Source organism: Homo sapiens, chromosome 2 (genome assembly GCF_000001405.40).
Source record: "Homo sapiens chromosome 2, GRCh38.p14 Primary Assembly".
NCBI classification, from domain to species: domain Eukaryota; kingdom Metazoa; phylum Chordata; class Mammalia; order Primates; family Hominidae; genus Homo; species Homo sapiens.
In genome coordinates this window covers 22309563-22326884 of record NC_000002.12, presented here as the reverse complement: position 1 = coordinate 22326884, position 17322 = coordinate 22309563, and the positions used below count along the sequence as shown (strand labels likewise).

The following is a 17322-nucleotide window of genomic DNA, read 5'->3' as shown; positions in this document are numbered from 1 at the left end:
CACCTCTATCTTTAAGGATGCTTGTGATTATAATTGGGGACTACTTACTATTCCAGGATAATCTCCTCATCTCAAAGCTTTTAAATTAATTATACCTGCAAAGATCCTTTTAATCTAAATAAAGTAATATTTACAAATTTTGGTGTTTTGGGAAATATTATTCAGCCGACCACAGATAGTATGTTAGATGGTAATATGTATTATGCAAAGGAAATTAACCAAACTATGAAAGATACCAAATTCCAGCATGGTGTTAGGGACTCTTATTCTCTACAAGGCAGATATGAAAGGCATTGTCTCACTTTAAGCAGAGACGTGAAGGAAGTGAAGCCATGTGTAGGAAGAGGGTATTAGGCAGTGGGGACGGTATCCGCAAAGTCCTGAGGACCCTGTGTGACTGCAATAGAGTGAACAGGAGCTACAGTGGTAAAGGATGTGGTCAAGTGGGGGGCATATTGTGCAAGGCCTCACTAGTCACCGTAAGAACCTTTATTCTGAATGAAATGGGAAGTCATATGAGGACCAAGAATGACAAAATTAGATTTAATTTTTGAAACCATCATTTTGGTTGTTTTTAGGAGGATAGAGTACAGGGATCAGAATGGAATGTGAACATTTCTTAGGATTGTTGCCCAATAAATCTGTGAAACACGAAGATGGCTTAGAACAGAATGGAGAGGTAGAAGGTTTGGAAACTTGTCTGAGTCTAATATATTTCATAGGTAGACTTAATAGGATTTATAGACAGGTCATACATGAAGTGTAAGTGAAAGAGTGGGGAAAAGCAACATTGCCATGTTCTCAGCCTGAACAACAGCAAAGATAAAGCCACCATGAAACTTAGATGGGACATGCTGGTGGATGGGTTGTCAGTCAGGATAGGGGCAAAAACTTCTTCAGTGTGGCCATGCTTTCTGGCATCTGAATTGAGATTCTATGTCGACAGCTGGATGGAAGGGTGTGGAGTCTAGAGGCAAAATCTAGACTGAAGATAGAAATATGAGCATTGCCATCATACAGATGGTGTTAAAAGCCCTGAGGCTGAGTGAGCTCACCTGGGGACTGGTAGAGTCAGGCAGTGATCCATTTGTTCTGCAGCCAGTCCTGAGCTCCCAGGGAACATTTTGCACTGTTCTAAACATTGGTTGATGCCAAGGTGAATTAAACCATTGTCTCTGCTCTCAAGGTGCCCATATTCTGAGAGAAGGGAAAGTGTGTAAAAATATATATGCTTAATATATGAGGCTCAATTCTAGAGTAGCAATTAACTCTGCTTTAGTTATGTTGGGAAGATTCAGAAGTGTGTTTCAAGGGCACTTCATCTAGGCCTGGATGCTTGAGTAAGGTTTTGTAAGTCTGAGGAAGATCAGGACGTCAGGGAGAAGAATAACTTCACACAGAGTCACATGTAGAGGGCTGTGGTTAATACAGAGATTCTCAGCCCTGGGTGCACATGAGAGACCTCTTAAAGAATTGTTTAAAACAAATAAACAATAACAACAGCAACAGCAATTTTTCTTTAGTTTCCACCTCAAACCATTTAAACCAGAATAGGCTGGGCTCAAGCAATGGAACATTTTAAAGTGCTTCAGTTAATGCTAATGTGTAGCTATAATTGAGACATATGAGGATGGGACATTAGGCAGTATTTCTTGGAGTGTAGCCCCTGGACCACCTATGTTACTAATTCCCAGAAAATTTGTTAAAAATGCAGTCTCCTGGTCGGGCGCGGTGGCTCACGCCTGTAATCCCAGCGCTTTGGGAGGCCGAGGTGGGTGGATCACGAGGTCAGGAGACCGAGACCGTCCTGGCTAACATGGTGAAACCTCGTCTCTAATGAAAAATACAAAAACTTAGCCGCGTGTGGTGGCACGCGCCTGTAGTCCCAGCTACTCAGGAGGCGAGGCAGGAGAATGGCGTGAACCCAGGAGGTGGAGCTTGCACTGAGCCGAGATCGTGCCACTGCACTACAGCCTGGGCGAAAGAGCAAGACTCCATCTCAAAAAAAAAAAAAAAAAAAAAAAAAAAAAAGCAGTCTCCTGAGTCCCTTTCACACTATAAAGCCTGAATTTAAAAAGGCATTCAAGGTGAACCTTTTGCACAACAGTGTCTTATAAACACTGGTGTGTGTGATGGGGAAAGCGAATACAATATTAGTGTTGAAAACTAGGTAAAGAAATGTCGTGCTAAGGACAGTGGATACAATCCTGGGGGTACCAGAAAATTAGGTGGCTTTGAAGAGAGAATAAACACACAACACTCTGTATCCATTTTCATAAGGGTTTAAATACAGTGGTGCTTTGAGGTTGGGTGTACAGTTAAGAGGCTGTTGGAGTAATCTAAGTAAGAGATTGTAAGACCCGAACCCATCTATGTCCTGCGATCATACACAGGTGACTCGCCTGTATAGGTCCCCAGGATATAACACATCTCAAAAATGGCCAAATGCACATCCAATCAGGATGCAAGAAGTGTGGTAGTTTAGCTCCTTATACCAAAAATCACCATGGAATTATCTCTCACTTTCCTGCCAGGAATTTAAAATTTCTCTCTGGAGCATAGATGCCTGCAGGAGAATCCTGCATTCCCTGTGTGAGAATTAATGAAACTACTTTTCTGATTCTTTTTAGTCCATTCTATTTGGTTAGTTTAAGTGACGACTAAACATATTAGCTCACATAGGAACTTATTTTTGAATAGCAAGATTTTGAAAATTTAGTACAGATTGCCAAATGTTTACTATGAAAGGTGATTAGTCAGACTGAAACTCAGAGTATTAAGGAATTTGAATCATCTCAAAGGATTTTTTATTACAGTCAATACATCAAATAAATTGGCTACACTCTTCCTTTGAGACTAGCATTAAAGTTGGTCATTCGATGGCTTTTCTTCGTTGTACTTATTCAATTTTAAGACAAGTCATAATTTTTCTACTGAAGGTGAGAGAATCTACAATGGGAAATTCATAATCTTCATAGAGCAAAAACACAAAAGGGAAAAGTGAAACAAATTGGCAAAGCCCATATATATGTGGCAGCCATTATTAAATATATTATATATATATATATATATATATAATGGTAGTTTCTTTCAATAGATTATTAATGGCTGAGGTTGACCATCTTCGTAACTAGTCAACTGAATAAATATTTATCAGTTGTCGGTAGCAAAAGTGATTGAATTCTATAAGTGATTGTAAAAGGCTATTATTTGCGTGGTGCTCAATCAGGTGGGATAAGTCCAATGCAATCTGTCTATCTCACTGATCACTATGAAAAACACTAGACAAAATATAAAAAGCAACTTTCTAAGGACTCCAATTATACATACAGTAGGCTACTGGACATCATTCCATATCTCACTGATGCTCTGTTTATTTTTTTCTGAACTGTTTTTCTTCCTCTGGATTTCATCTTGGATAGTTTTCCCACGTCTTTAAGTTAATGAATTTTCTTATTCTGCAGTGCTAAATCTGCTGTTAATTTCATCCAGTACAGGTTTTACTTTACTTTAAACTCCAAAAGTTTGATTTTAATATTTGTCTCTAACATGTTCAAAATTTCCTCAATTGCCATAAATGTAAGGAATATAGTTATTTGTTATAACTATTTATAACAAATTTATAGTTATAATTATAGTTATAAATATTTGTATAATATTATACAAATAGTTATACAAATAACTATTTGTATGTCTTTGTTTACTAATTCTATCATTTGTGTCATTTCTGAGTCTTTTAAAACATTTTAAATTGTAAATTGACTGGTGATAGTTGTATATATTTGTGGGATACAACATGATGTTATGATTTATGAATACAATGTGGAATAATTAAATCAAACTAATTAACATATCTATCACCTCAAATACTTATTTTTGGTGAGAACATTTCAAATTTACTCTGTTAGCAATTTTGAAGTGTGTAATACATTATTATTGACTATATCCATGGTGTGGAATATATCTGAAAGAAAAAAATTCTTACTCCTCTTGTCTAATTGCAGCTTCGTACCTTTCAACTATCATCTCCCCATATATCCCAAGCCCCTGTCCTCTGATGACTGACCACCATTCTACTCTCCATTTCTTTGAGTTCCATTATTTTAGATTCCACATACGAGTGAGAACATGTGGTATTTGTCGTTCTGTTTCTGGCTTGTTTCACTTAGCATAATGTTTTCTAATTCCATCCAAGTTGTTACAAATGACAAAATTTCTGTTTTTTCAAGACTGAATTGTGTTCCAGTGTATATATATATATATATATATATATATACTTCACTTTCTTTATTCATTCATTTGTTGATGAACACTTAAATTGCTTCCACATCTTGGCTATTGTGAATAATGCTGCAGTAAACATAGGGGTGCCGACATTTCTTTGACACTACTAATTTCAAATATTTCATGTAAATACACAGAAATGGGATTTCTAGATTAAATTACCATTCTATTTTTGTTTGTTTGTTTGTTTGAGGAACTTCTATACAGGTTATTATAATAGGTGTATCAATTTATATTCCTATCAGTCTATTTTTATTTATTTATAGTATTTTCCTGCTTTTTGCATGATGGTTAATTGATCAACCATGATGGTTGAGTGAATGGTAGGTATTGTGGATTTTGGGGTGTGGATATTTTTGCATCCATATACATATTATTGAGCTTTGCCCTGGGGTGCCTTTCAACTACTTACACACTGTTAGAACCTTTTGAGCCTTGCTTAAGTTTTGTGATGAGCTAATCAGAGCAGCCTTTGGTATAGGGCTAATATTAGTTTACGATTTAGGTAAATACCCCTTCGAGTATTCTCTTCAATATCTGGAGAATTATGTAGTTTTCCACTCTATAATCCTGTAACAGTGAGAAGGCAGCCTATTCCTGATCCTGTGTGCAACCTCTGCACATTGTTCCCTTTAATCATTTTGGGGGTTTGCATATTTTTTTCCCAGCCTCAGGTAGTTTCCTTGCAGGCATGTGCTGATCAGTGCTCTGCTTAAAATTTAACGGAGAACCTCTGCAGTTTTTCAGAGTGCTCTGTGTGAGTTTGTGTGTCTGTGCATACACTGTGTAGGTCTCTCCTCTTCAGTACTGTGTCCTGAAAACTTACCCTGTTGGCCTACTTCTTGAAGTTGCATCTTAGTCTCCCCAACTCAGGGAAACTGCCACCCTTTGGATGGGTTCCCTTTCTTGAGCTGAAGTCTGCAAACTCTCTTCAGTAGTAAGGTGCAGCAATCTTAGGGCTCGGCTTGTCTGTTCCTCCCTCTGAGTTATCAGTTCAAAGCCAAACTTACAAAATAAAATGGAACTCAAACCATCCCTCACAGTATATAAACAAATAACAACAAAAAAAGACAATATATCTAAATGTGATATCTTGAATTAAAAATCTTTTAGAAGAAAACATAGGGGAAAAGCTTTATGACCTTGAATTAGGGAAAGTATTCTTAGATATGGCACAAAAAGTATAATTCATCACAAAAAAACCCTCAGAAGTTGGACTTCAACAAATGAAAACATTTTGCTCTGTGAAAGACACTTTTAAGAGGCTGAAAAGACAAAGCAGAGATTTGAAGATAATATTTGCCAACCACATATTTGACAAAGACTTGTGCTCAGGAAATACTAAACACTCTCAAAACTCAGTAATAGGAAAACAAAACACCCAATAAAAAGGTTACAAACAGATACTTCACCAAAGGAGATGAATAGATCACAAATAACCAAAAGTAATGAAGTTCAACATCATTAGTCTTTAGAAAAATGCAAATTAAAAACACAAAGAGATACTTTTACACATCTATTAGTATGGCTAAGGTGAAAAACAAAGCCAATTGACAATACCAAGTTCTGTGGAGGACACAGAACAAGAATAACCATTATTCATTGCTGATAAGAATGCAAGCCGGTAAAACCACTTTGTAATATAGTTGATGGATACTTAGCATGTGATCTACCAATACCACTCCTACATATTTACCAAGAGAAATAAAACTCATGTCCACACAAAACCAAATATGAACATTTATTTTTAGCTTTATTTCTAACATTTCTACCCAAATGTCCTTCAATGGGCAAATGGATAAATACATTTTAGTACATCCAGACAATTGAATACTCCAAAGCCTTGCAGAAGAATGACCTATTTATACATGAAACAATATGGGTAAATCTCACATAGATTGCTGTAGGAGAGATTTACCAACAAGGCTATTTATGCCATATGATTATACTTTTATAACGTTCTCTAAAAAACAAACTGTCGGGATGAAACAATCAATGGTTGCCAGGAGTTAGGAGTTAAGATTTGTTTAATATGAAAGGACTGCTAAGTGGATTTTGAGGTAATAGAACTGTTCTGTGTCTTGTAGCAGTGCTTATGCAACTCTGCTTATTTTTCCAATATCATCAAATTGTACCCCAAAGTAGTGATATTTAATGTATGTAAATTTACAAATAAATTTAAAAAGTGTGTTTATTTTTATTTGAAATAGAAAAATAAACTTCCAAAGTACTTGACTTCCAAGATAATTTGATGGTTTTGTTGTTTTTGTTTTTGTTTTTTGAGATGAAGTATCATTCTGTTGCCCACGCTGGAGTGCCGTGGTGTGCTGTCGGCTCACTGCAACCTTTGTCTCCCAGGGTCAAGCAATTCCCTTGCCTCAGCTTCCCAAGTAGGTGGTATTACAGGCATGTGCCACCATGCCCAGCTAATTTTTTTGGTATTTTTAGTAGAGACAGGGTTTCACCAAGTTGGCTAGGCTGGTCTCGAACTCCTGACCTTAAGTGATCTGCCACACCCTCCTCGGCCTCCCAAAGTGCTGAGATTACAAGCGTGAGCCACTGCACCCATCCTATTTGATGCTTGACAAAAATTAATTGATCAAATTTAAATTCTAATTACCAATTCTCCAAACTGTCACTTTATTCTAAATGATTTCAGTCTTAACAGGATGTTTTCCCAAATTTCATCTTGAATTTCCTCTCACTTCTTTCAGGATGGTGAGATTGATTGCTTCAAAAAATTCCTAGCAACAAGGAGTTGCTATTGGCATGCTACACCAGCATGGGTAGATGCTGAATAGATCACAGGGTTAGAGAAAAAGAAGGGCCAAGAGAACTTCCTGAGAAATTTAACCAAAAAAGTCCTTTCTCATTATTTTCTACCTGTCAATCTTCTGCTTCTTTTCTGAAAAAAGCACAGAATTCTTCCTACCTGATCTTTTATCCCTTCTTGTGTCCTCACCCATCCTGAACCTATGCCTCCTTTTCCTACTTTTTTTTTTTTTTTTTTTTTTGAGACAGAGTCTTGCTCTGTCGCCCAGGCTGGAGTGCAGTGGTACAATCTCGGCTCACTGCAAGCTCTGCCTCCTGAGTTCACGCCATTCTCCTGCCTCAGCCTCCCGAGTAGCTGGGACTACAGGAGCCCGCCACCGCGCCTGGCTAATTTTTTGAATTTTTAGTAGAGACGGGGTTTCACCATGTTAGCCAGGATGGTCTTGATCTCCTGACCTCGTGATCTGCCTACCTCGGCCTCCCAAAGTGCTGGGATTAGAGGCGTGAGCCACCGCGCCTGGCCTCCTTTTCCTACTTTTAACCCACTATTTTGTTCACTGTCACCCAAACACACTCCAGTGTCAGTCCCATGGAAACAGGCTACATGTCTTATCCTTGTCTTCTTGCTGTCTAGAATACCTCTAGAATGTGCATGTCATCCCTTCATCCTTCTTGAAACGTTTTCTTTTCCAGGCTTTGGTAATGCCACATTCTCCTAGTTTACCCTTTCCTACCAGATCGCCAGTAACTGCTACCTACCTGGGCTTAATTCTCTGCTTTGCTAGGCATATTATACATACATACACAAACACACACACACACACGCACATATATATATATGTATATATATATTTTTTTGAGACAGGGTCTCACTCTGCTGGAATGCAGTGGTGCGATCACAGCTCACTGCAGCCTTGACTTCCCAGGCTCAGGTGATCCTGTCACCTCAGCCTCCAGAGTATCTGGGACTACAGGTGCGTGCACCACACTTGACTAACTGTTATTTTTTTTGGAGAGATGGGGTCTTACCATGTTTCCCAGGCTGGTCTCGAACTCACGAGCTCAAGTAATCCACCCACCTCAGCCTCCTAAAGTGCTGGGATTATAGGCATGAGCCACTGGGCCTGGCCCCTACTAGTATTCTAAAGTCTCTTTTCTTTTGAAACTATTCTTACTCCTTGGGTAACCCTATCCCATCCCAGAAGTATACCTAAAATCCATATACTGACAGCCTCTGTGGAAGATTGCTAGTTGTCTCTTGCCAAATCTGTTTGCTCTATCCTCCCCAGGGATAGAATTTCAGCTGAGCTACATTTCTTAGCTTCCCACACAGTTAGGTAGGGGCATTTGAATTGGTTTTTATCAGAAATATGAACACAGGGAATTAATACAACGTTTATGTCTTTTCTTTTTAATGTAACTCCTCCTCTTTATTTCCTCTGGTTTACCCTTTCTACTGGTTTGGGAACAGCTGTACCTGAAGCAGCCCCCAGAAAGCCAGAGAGGGAAGCTACATGCAGACCCTTTCCAAAATGTCTGACACTTTCTATGTCTCCTTCCTCAGGTGGACATTTGTATTCAGCTCTACATCCAGATGTCTTTCTTAAGGGACTGACTTTGGACTACAGAAGTTGTTTGGTTGCAGAAAAAAAAAAAAATGAAGCAAGATGTTAGTAGCCAATGATGACTACTACCCCTGAAACAAACATGATGGCAAAATGCCTATCCTAATATAATGCTCCCCTGCAGGATAATATTGAAACAAAATCAGGGGACTTTGCCTGAAGTTACACCCTTGTTTGGCATTTTCCCGTTTCCTGCTCTGCCTCACCTGTTCACTTGCACATTTTTCTTGGGGATATTCCCTTAAGAAAGCACTTACATAAAAATTCAATCGGAGGATAAGCTTCTGTGAAAACTGACCTAAAGAGCTGCCCATACCCAAACTCTGTCTCCTAACATATCTCTAACTCAATCATACAAAAAGTAACAATTCAAAGACAACTTCTTCTGTATAAAAGGGAATATAGGCGTACACATGCCAGGTCTGTCCCGCAGACCTTGGCCAATGGATGAAATGAGTACTCAGACACAGGTATGCAGTGTAAGAGCAGCTAGGTGACTGCCTGACTCTAGTGGCCAGAGAGCAGCCCCAAGAAGCTGGAGCTGCTTGCTTATATTCAGGGCAGGCACAACGCCGAAAACCTGGAGCCAACACAACCTGTAGGGAATTAACATTTATTGTTCCCCTTTCAGGGAATGTCATGCACGCCGATGATCAAAGGTAAGTTTCTGGTCAACATAAGTAAACAAGCCTGTTTAAGATAAATTCCTCCACATTCCGTTGTACCTACTCCTTGCCCTCTGCTTCAGGGTTATAGAACAGCTGCCTTCAGCTATTCTCCCCTGGGGCTCTGCAGAACCTTCTGACCTTTCAGAAGGTTTGCATCCTTTCCCTATAGTTTTTCCCACCATGTGACTGATCCCCCACATACACACACGTACACACACACACATATCAGTGTAGGAGCAATAAAGTCATAACAGGGAACTACAGGGAACTTATGACATTCAAACTTTGGAGGAGAAATAGGCCTAGGATATCTTTAGTTGTGTAGTAGGGATGGAAGGTAATTTTGTCAGAGTGGGAAGGGATTCCTGAGGGGTTATTTGATCCTGTTTCGTGTAGAAATATTAGGTGTAGGGCTACTAGGGCTGTCATAATAAAAGGTAAGATAAAGTGGAAAGTGAAGAATCGTGTGAGGGTGGGTTTGTCTATAAGTCACCTATGTTTTACACCCATGTTTTATTTAGTGTAACAGGAAATAAAAATAAACTTGAACCTTGGGACAAGGATACTGTCTCTTTACTTTTTTTTTTTTTTTTTTTTCCTGAGACAGAGTCTTGCTCTGTTGCCCGGGTTGGAGTGCAGTGGTGTGATCTCGGCTCACTACAACCTCCACCTCCCAAGTTCATGCTATTCTCCTGCCTCAGCCTCCTGAGTAGCTGGTATTATAGGTGCCCACCACCATGCCCAGCTTTTTGTATTTTTAGCAGAGACAGGGTTTCATCATGTTAGCCAGGGTGGTCTCAAATTCCTGGCCTCAAGTGATCACCTGCCATGGCCTCCCAAAGTGCTGGGATTACAGATGTGAGCCACTGTGCCCAGCCAGGATACCGTCTCATTACTAATCCTGGTATTAGAGATTTAAAAATCTGGAAGTAATAATTAAATCCAATCTATACATGCATTCGTAGCTTACTGCTAATATGGACTGACAGCAAAAAAATTATTCCCTTTAAAAAAAATCCTGAATTGGTAGTGTTCCTACATGCTCTAAAAAACAAACAAACAAACAAATAAAAAACAATAACAAAACCCACACAAATACTCTGGAGAAAAGCATCACACCATCAAACCAGGTCCAAACTAATCCCCACAGATAAACTTGTGGGGAGTATTAATTTACTGTCGAAAGAGACACAAACAAGGACAAAATATGGTAAAGAAGGGTCAGCCGAAATATCAGACAGCAAAGAAAATCAATTTTTTAGATTTTTAAAAATCAGACATCAAGTATAAAACAAGTGCTATATGTATTTCAAAAAATAAAAAAAGCAAAAGATAATATGTTAAGAGGGATATAAAAACTAAGTGCAGGCCAGGCACGGTGGCTCATGCCTGTAATCCCAGCACTTTGGGAGGCTGAGGCGGGCAGATTGCCTGAGCTCAGGAGTTCAAGACCAGCCTGGGCAACACTATGAAACCCCGTCTCTACTAAAATACAAAAAAAATTAGCTGGGCGTGGCAGGGCACGCCTGTACTCCTATCTACTCGGGAGGCTGAGGCAGGAGAATTGCTTGAACCCGGGAGGCGGAGGTTGCAGTGAGCTGAGATCATGCCACTGCCCTCCAGCCTGGGTGACAGAGTGAGACTCCATCTCCAAAAAAAAAAAAAAAAAAGAAAAAAAAACCCAAAAACATGTATGTGTATATATAAAATAAGTGCAAAAGAATCAAATGGAACTTCTAGAAATAAAATATAAAATATTTGGAAAAACAGAAGAAAGAATTATGGCCTAAATGATAGATTTATAAAACATATCCAGAATACAGCCCATAGAAACAAAGACATGGGAAATGTGGGAGAAAGTGATGCTGGGATATGGACACCCAACATTTGTCTAACTGGAGTTCTGGATAAGAGGAAAAATAATGCCTGAAAGATTTTTCATTAATCAGAAAACTTCAGATTCAGCAATCCATAGGAAACCTAAGCAGGCTAAAACAAGGTCTCCACATCTAGACATAAAAATAATGAAATCAAAGAACAACAAAGGGAAAACAACAACAATAACAACAAGAAAACAACCTTTGTGGGCACTACAGTATAGTGGAATCATATTATCAGAGAGATGAGAGAAGATAACTGTTATATATCCAGCAAAATAATATTTTCAAAAACAAGGGAATTTTAAATACACACATACACACACACACACACAAACACACACTTCAAATTCGTTTCACTCTTATTCTTTTTTTTTTAATTTTTATAAATTTAAGGGGCAGAAGGGCAATTTTGTTATATGGGTACCATTTCAAGAATATAAATAGACTATGTAACTTCCAAACTGGGGAAAAACAAAATAAGAAATGCAATTAAATTTAGGCAAAAAGAGAGGAAAAGAGACAGAAAATTTTGAGCAAATAGAAAATGTTGAAAGTGTTAAAGATGAATATAAGTATACTAGATATTATAATAACATAAACTGATTAAATATTTCAAGTAAAAGATAAAGACTGTTAAACTGAACTTAAACAAAAACTAAAATACAACTCTATGCCATTTACAAGAAATATATCTAAAATATATTCAGGCAAAATGATTAATATATGCAAAACGTTGCTACATGCTACTAAAGTATTTACTTCACAAGGAATAGTACTGAACTTGTATAATCTAATAACTAGCTAAAATTATATAGACAATCATACTGAGAAGGTAAGATATGCTTATTTTAGTATTTCATTACATAGGCAAAATACATGAGTGATTTTACAGAAGAATTAAATAACAAAATTTACTACATTGATCTAAAGTTAACAAAATTAACTACATTAATAGTGGTTTTACACCGGTCATATTCTGTGATCTCTATGAATGTAAGTTAGAAAGCAGAAATAACAACATTGTTACAAACATTATTTAAAGTCTTCCTGTTTAAATAGCATACACTTGAAGAAGTCATAACAGAAGTTAGAATATATTTAGAACTAAAAAATGAACACGAAAATTGTGAAATGAGTTACAGTAGTACTTGGATGGAAATGTATAGTACTAAATGTTATACGAATTAGAAAACAAAATTCTGAAAATTAATGACCTAAGCTTCCAACGTAAGATTTTTTTTGAGGGGGGGATCTGAGGAGTTAGGGGATGGTGAATGTGAATGAAAAGATGGGCTAACATCAAATAAAACAAAAAGAAAAATGATAAAGACAAGTAAGGAGGGATGTATACTGTAAGCCACCAGTAAGATTTATCAAGAATAAAAGAGAATGCTCAAAAAATCAATATTAAGAATGAATAAGAAGATATAACTATAGTTAATTCAGAAATTAAGAAGTTAATGAATGCATATAATGAACAACTTTATACTAATAAATTTTAAAACTTAAGTGAAACGAACAAATATCTAAGAAAAATGTAACTTATCAAATACGTCTCAATCAGAAGTAGAAAACTGAACAGTTCTATAACCACTAAAAATGATCTGTGGTTAGTTAAAATTATTCCCATAAAAAAAACATCAGATAGAATGCTTTATGGCAAATTCTTTCAAACACTGAGGGAAGGAGTAAATCAAATGTTACAAAATGAATAAAGAAGGAGAAAAAGTGGTAATACTCTGCCACACATTTTTTGGAGTTCACATAATCCTGATTCCAAAACCTAACAATGGTAACAAGTCTAGAAATTTATTAGGCAATTTCACCCATGAATATATATGCAAACACCCTAAATGAAATACTAAAAAATAGTACCTGTAATGAATAAAAGAACATAATATATCATGACCAAATTGGATCTTCTCATAAATACAAGATTAGAATTTTACATTTTGAAAATTAGTATTTAGATTTTATACTTGGATTAGTATTTAGATTTAGAAAATCTATTTAACTAATTCACCATATAAGAGTACAAAGGCCATAAAATTAGTTAACAGTTTTAGGAACGGCATTAGATAAAATTCAACATCTATTCATAATGAAAAAAATAGCAAAATAAAAATAAAAGAAATACAACCATCTTCTTTAATATAATAAAGTATATATTAAATCCCTAAGTAAATATTCTTAACGAAGAAATATTTAAAGCAATTTATTGAAGATCAAGACCAAAAAGAAGTGTAAACTATCCCCACTTCTAGTTAACTTTATACTGGCAATCCTAGCCAGGCCTGTAAAGCATAATAAGTGTAGAAATAAATGAATTAATAAATAAGTCAATTAATCGATAATGATTTAAATGAAATAAAATTACTATATTTGCAGATGATTCAGTTAGCTATAAAAATAGGAAAGATATACATATTTAATAGAATTAATAAAATAATTTAGTGTGATTGCTATAAAGGGTCAATATATTTTAAAAGAAATTAATTGGCTTTTTATAGAATGAAATAAATAATTAGCTAAAATAATTTAAGTGGTATAACTTAATAAACCACCAAAAAATACAAATACCTGGAAACAAATATAGTCCAAGGGTTATAAGTCATCTAATAAAAAATATAATTTTTTATTAAATATAAAATACATTTTATAAAAATATATTTTTTGATATTTTTTGATATTTTGATTTTTTTAACAAAAAATATAAATTTTTATCAAATGATATTCAGGAAAGCTAACTAAATAGATTATCTATGTTAATGGATGCAAAGACTCAATATTCAAAACATATCAATTCTCCCCCCGAAGTAATCTATAATCTAGTGCAATTATAATCAAATGTCAAGTAATTACTTTGTAGATTTTGGTAAAATAAATCTAAAATTTATGGAAGAACAGAGGACCGAAATTGGCAGGCGTAGCTAAAATAAGAATGAGATTAGGATACTCACCTTATTAGATATCAAGAATTATTAATATGCTATTGTAATTCAAAGATTACAATATATTGTAATGGAAGGGTAAATATATTGCTCTATGGAACAGAAAATGTCAAATAGAAAAATTTGATTTATGAGAAAGCTAGCAATACAGATGACTAGAATAAGGAAAGAATTTTAAATTATTTGTGTTGGCAGTTATTTGACCATATTAAAAAAGAAATTGTATTTCAGTTATCATTTTGCGTAAAATCTTTGTATAAAAAATCTATATTAAAATTATAAGATAAAAGATGTTTTTGACCTCAGAATATGAAAAAGTATTTTGATTTTGGTTTTGTTTTTAACAAGACAAAAGCACTAGCTGTAAGTTTTAACTATTAATATTTTTAAATTAATACTTTTTCTCCATTACTAAACACCATTACAAGTATTAACAGTAAATTTATGTTAGAAGAATATATTTTTATTGTGTAAAGCCATGATGAATATTTGGAATATGCAAAAATCATGTTACGTTTCAAATAAAATAGAAGCAATAGAAGAATAAGTCAATAGCAGTTCACAGAATAGAAAATATGAATGTCCAATGAAGATATAGCAAGGTGCTCAATCTAATCGGTTGTCAGAAAAACACACATTATTGCTTTAAGATACTATGTCATACCCATAAAACTAACAACAGAAAAATAATCTGAAAATATAAATTGTTGGAGAAGGTCTTAAACATAGCTACTGGAGGTTTAAAGGGGTATAACTATATGGAAATTAGTTTGGCTTCATCTAATAAGTTTAAAGGATCTAGATTAAGCCTAGTGGGATTCTTGCACAGTGGCTCTGAGGATAAACATAGAAATACATGTTGGAGTCTTACGTGCTATTGCAACAAATAGATTAACTACTGATTTTAAAAAGAATAAATACATGGCATGTTTATATAATGGGGCACCTGCATATAGTGGGGCACCTGCTTCACCACCAAAAGTTTTTACATTAGTAAAAATGAATAAACTGCTGCTATACCAAACATAAATTACTATCAGGAACATAACGCTAAACATGGAAGTTGCAGAATACATATAATGTGATTATATTTGTGTAGGTAAAAACAAGTTGTCTTAGTACACTTGTGCTACCATAACTATAAATCTGTTACTAGGTAATTTTAAAAGAACAGATATTTATTCCTCACCATGCTGAAGCCTGGGAAGTCAAAGATCAAGGTGTTGGCAGTTTTGGTGTCTGGTGAAGGCTGCTTTCTTCTTTGAAGATGGTGCCTTGTTGCTGCAATCTCTAGAGGAGATGAGTGCTGTGTCTGCACATGGCAGAAGAGATGGAAGGGGAAAAAGGGGAAGGAAGCAGCTCCCTCACACTTCTTTTCTTTCTATTCTTTCTACTTTTAATTTTCAAAATTAACATAAAACATTTGTAGATATTTATAGGGTACTTAGTGATGTTACATATTATGTATTATAGTGATGAAATCAGGATAATTACCTTATCCATATCAGACATTCATCATTTATTTGTGTTAGGAACATTCAACATCCTCCTTCTAGCGATCTGAAAGTACATAATATATTATTGTTAAGTATAGTTATCCTATAGAGCTATAGAACACTAGAACGTATTCCTCCTATCTAGCCGTAATTTTATTTTCTTTAACAAATCTCTCCCTTATTCTCCTCTTACTTCTACCCTTCCTATCCTCTAGTATCCTTTGTTCTACTTTTTACTTCTATGTGATAAACTTTTTATCTTCCACATATGAGTGAGAACATTCAGTGTTTAACTTCCTTTCCTGGCTTATTTCACTTGACATAATGTCCTCCAGTTCCATTCATGTTGCCATGAATGACAAGATTTTATTTTTTTTATGGATCAGTATTATTCTATTGTATATGTAGAGAAACCACATTTTCTTTTTTCATTTCCTCTGTTGTTGGGCACCTAAGTTGATTCCATATCCTGGCTACTGTGAATAGCCTAGCACCTCATTTGTAAGGCCACTAATTCCATTCATGAGAGCTCTGCCCTCATGACCCAGTTACCTCCTAAAGGTTCCACTTCTTAATACTATCACATTAATGATTAAGTTTCAACATATAAATGTGGGAAGACATATTCAGACCATAGCACATGTCAAACGCAATATGTATTTAATAATTCAAATATGTTTGGAAAGATTATTAGAGAGAAACAAAGGATGATAAAACAAAATTCAGAACATATCCCATAAATATATATACCTACTATATGTCTATAAAATTAAAAATACAAAATTTTAAAAATACAACAAAATTCAGAATACTGATTACTGCTGAGGAGGGAGAGAAGGAAATAACACTGAGCAAGTATTACTTGGGGCTTCCAAGATAATGGTAACTTTCAGTCAATGTTTCAAAAAAAGTGGAAGCAAAATAGGTGTTCATTTTAGTTACTCTATATATTTCACACATATTTATAAACATTTGTTTGTTTTCAGTGCTTAATCAAACAATACAAACCAAATCTTGGGAAAAACTTCAGGAAGATATCAAATACTCATCTACGAAATAAAGTTGGCCCTTTGTTTTTATGTTGTTATTGTTTGCCACTGGTAACTTCTATTTTTTTTTATTTTAATTTTTTATTTCCATAAGTTTTGGGGGAACAGGTTACATGAGTAAGTTCTTTAGTGGTGATTTGTGAGATTTTGGTGCACTCATCACCTGAGCAGTATATACTGAACCCAATTTGTAGTTGAGGAAAGGAAGTCATTATACAAAAGAGATACTTGCATATGCATGTTTACAGCAGCACAATTTGCAATTGCAAAAATATGCAGCCAGCCCAAATGCCCATCAGTCAATGAGTGAATAAAGTTAGTCCTTTGTATTCATGGGTTCCACATGTGCAAATTCAACTGACCACGGATCAAAAATTTAAAAAAAAAAACAATAAAAAAAACAATAAAATACTATACATAAAAATACAGTATAATAACTATGTATCATTAGCATTGTACTTAGTATTATAAGTAAAGATGATTTAAAATATATGGGATGATATGTGTAGGTTACATGCAAGCATAGATTAAGCATGCCTTATGAAAAATGCTTGGGACCAGAAGTGTTTTCAATTTTGGATATTTTTGGATTTTGGA

At 35.4% G+C, this 17322-nt stretch overlaps 1 annotated feature.

The window, feature by feature from the left end:
• Window positions 1873–2373: an enhancer, noted in NCBI's record as "H3K4me1 hESC enhancer chr2:22547384-22547884 (GRCh37/hg19 assembly coordinates)". NCBI's record gives its function as "activates a minimal SCP1, AML or CMV promoter by ChIP-STARR-seq in naive H9 embryonic stem cells {active_cell/tissue: H9 hESC(naive)}" and the evidence as "EXISTENCE:reporter gene assay evidence [ECO:0000049][PMID:30033119]".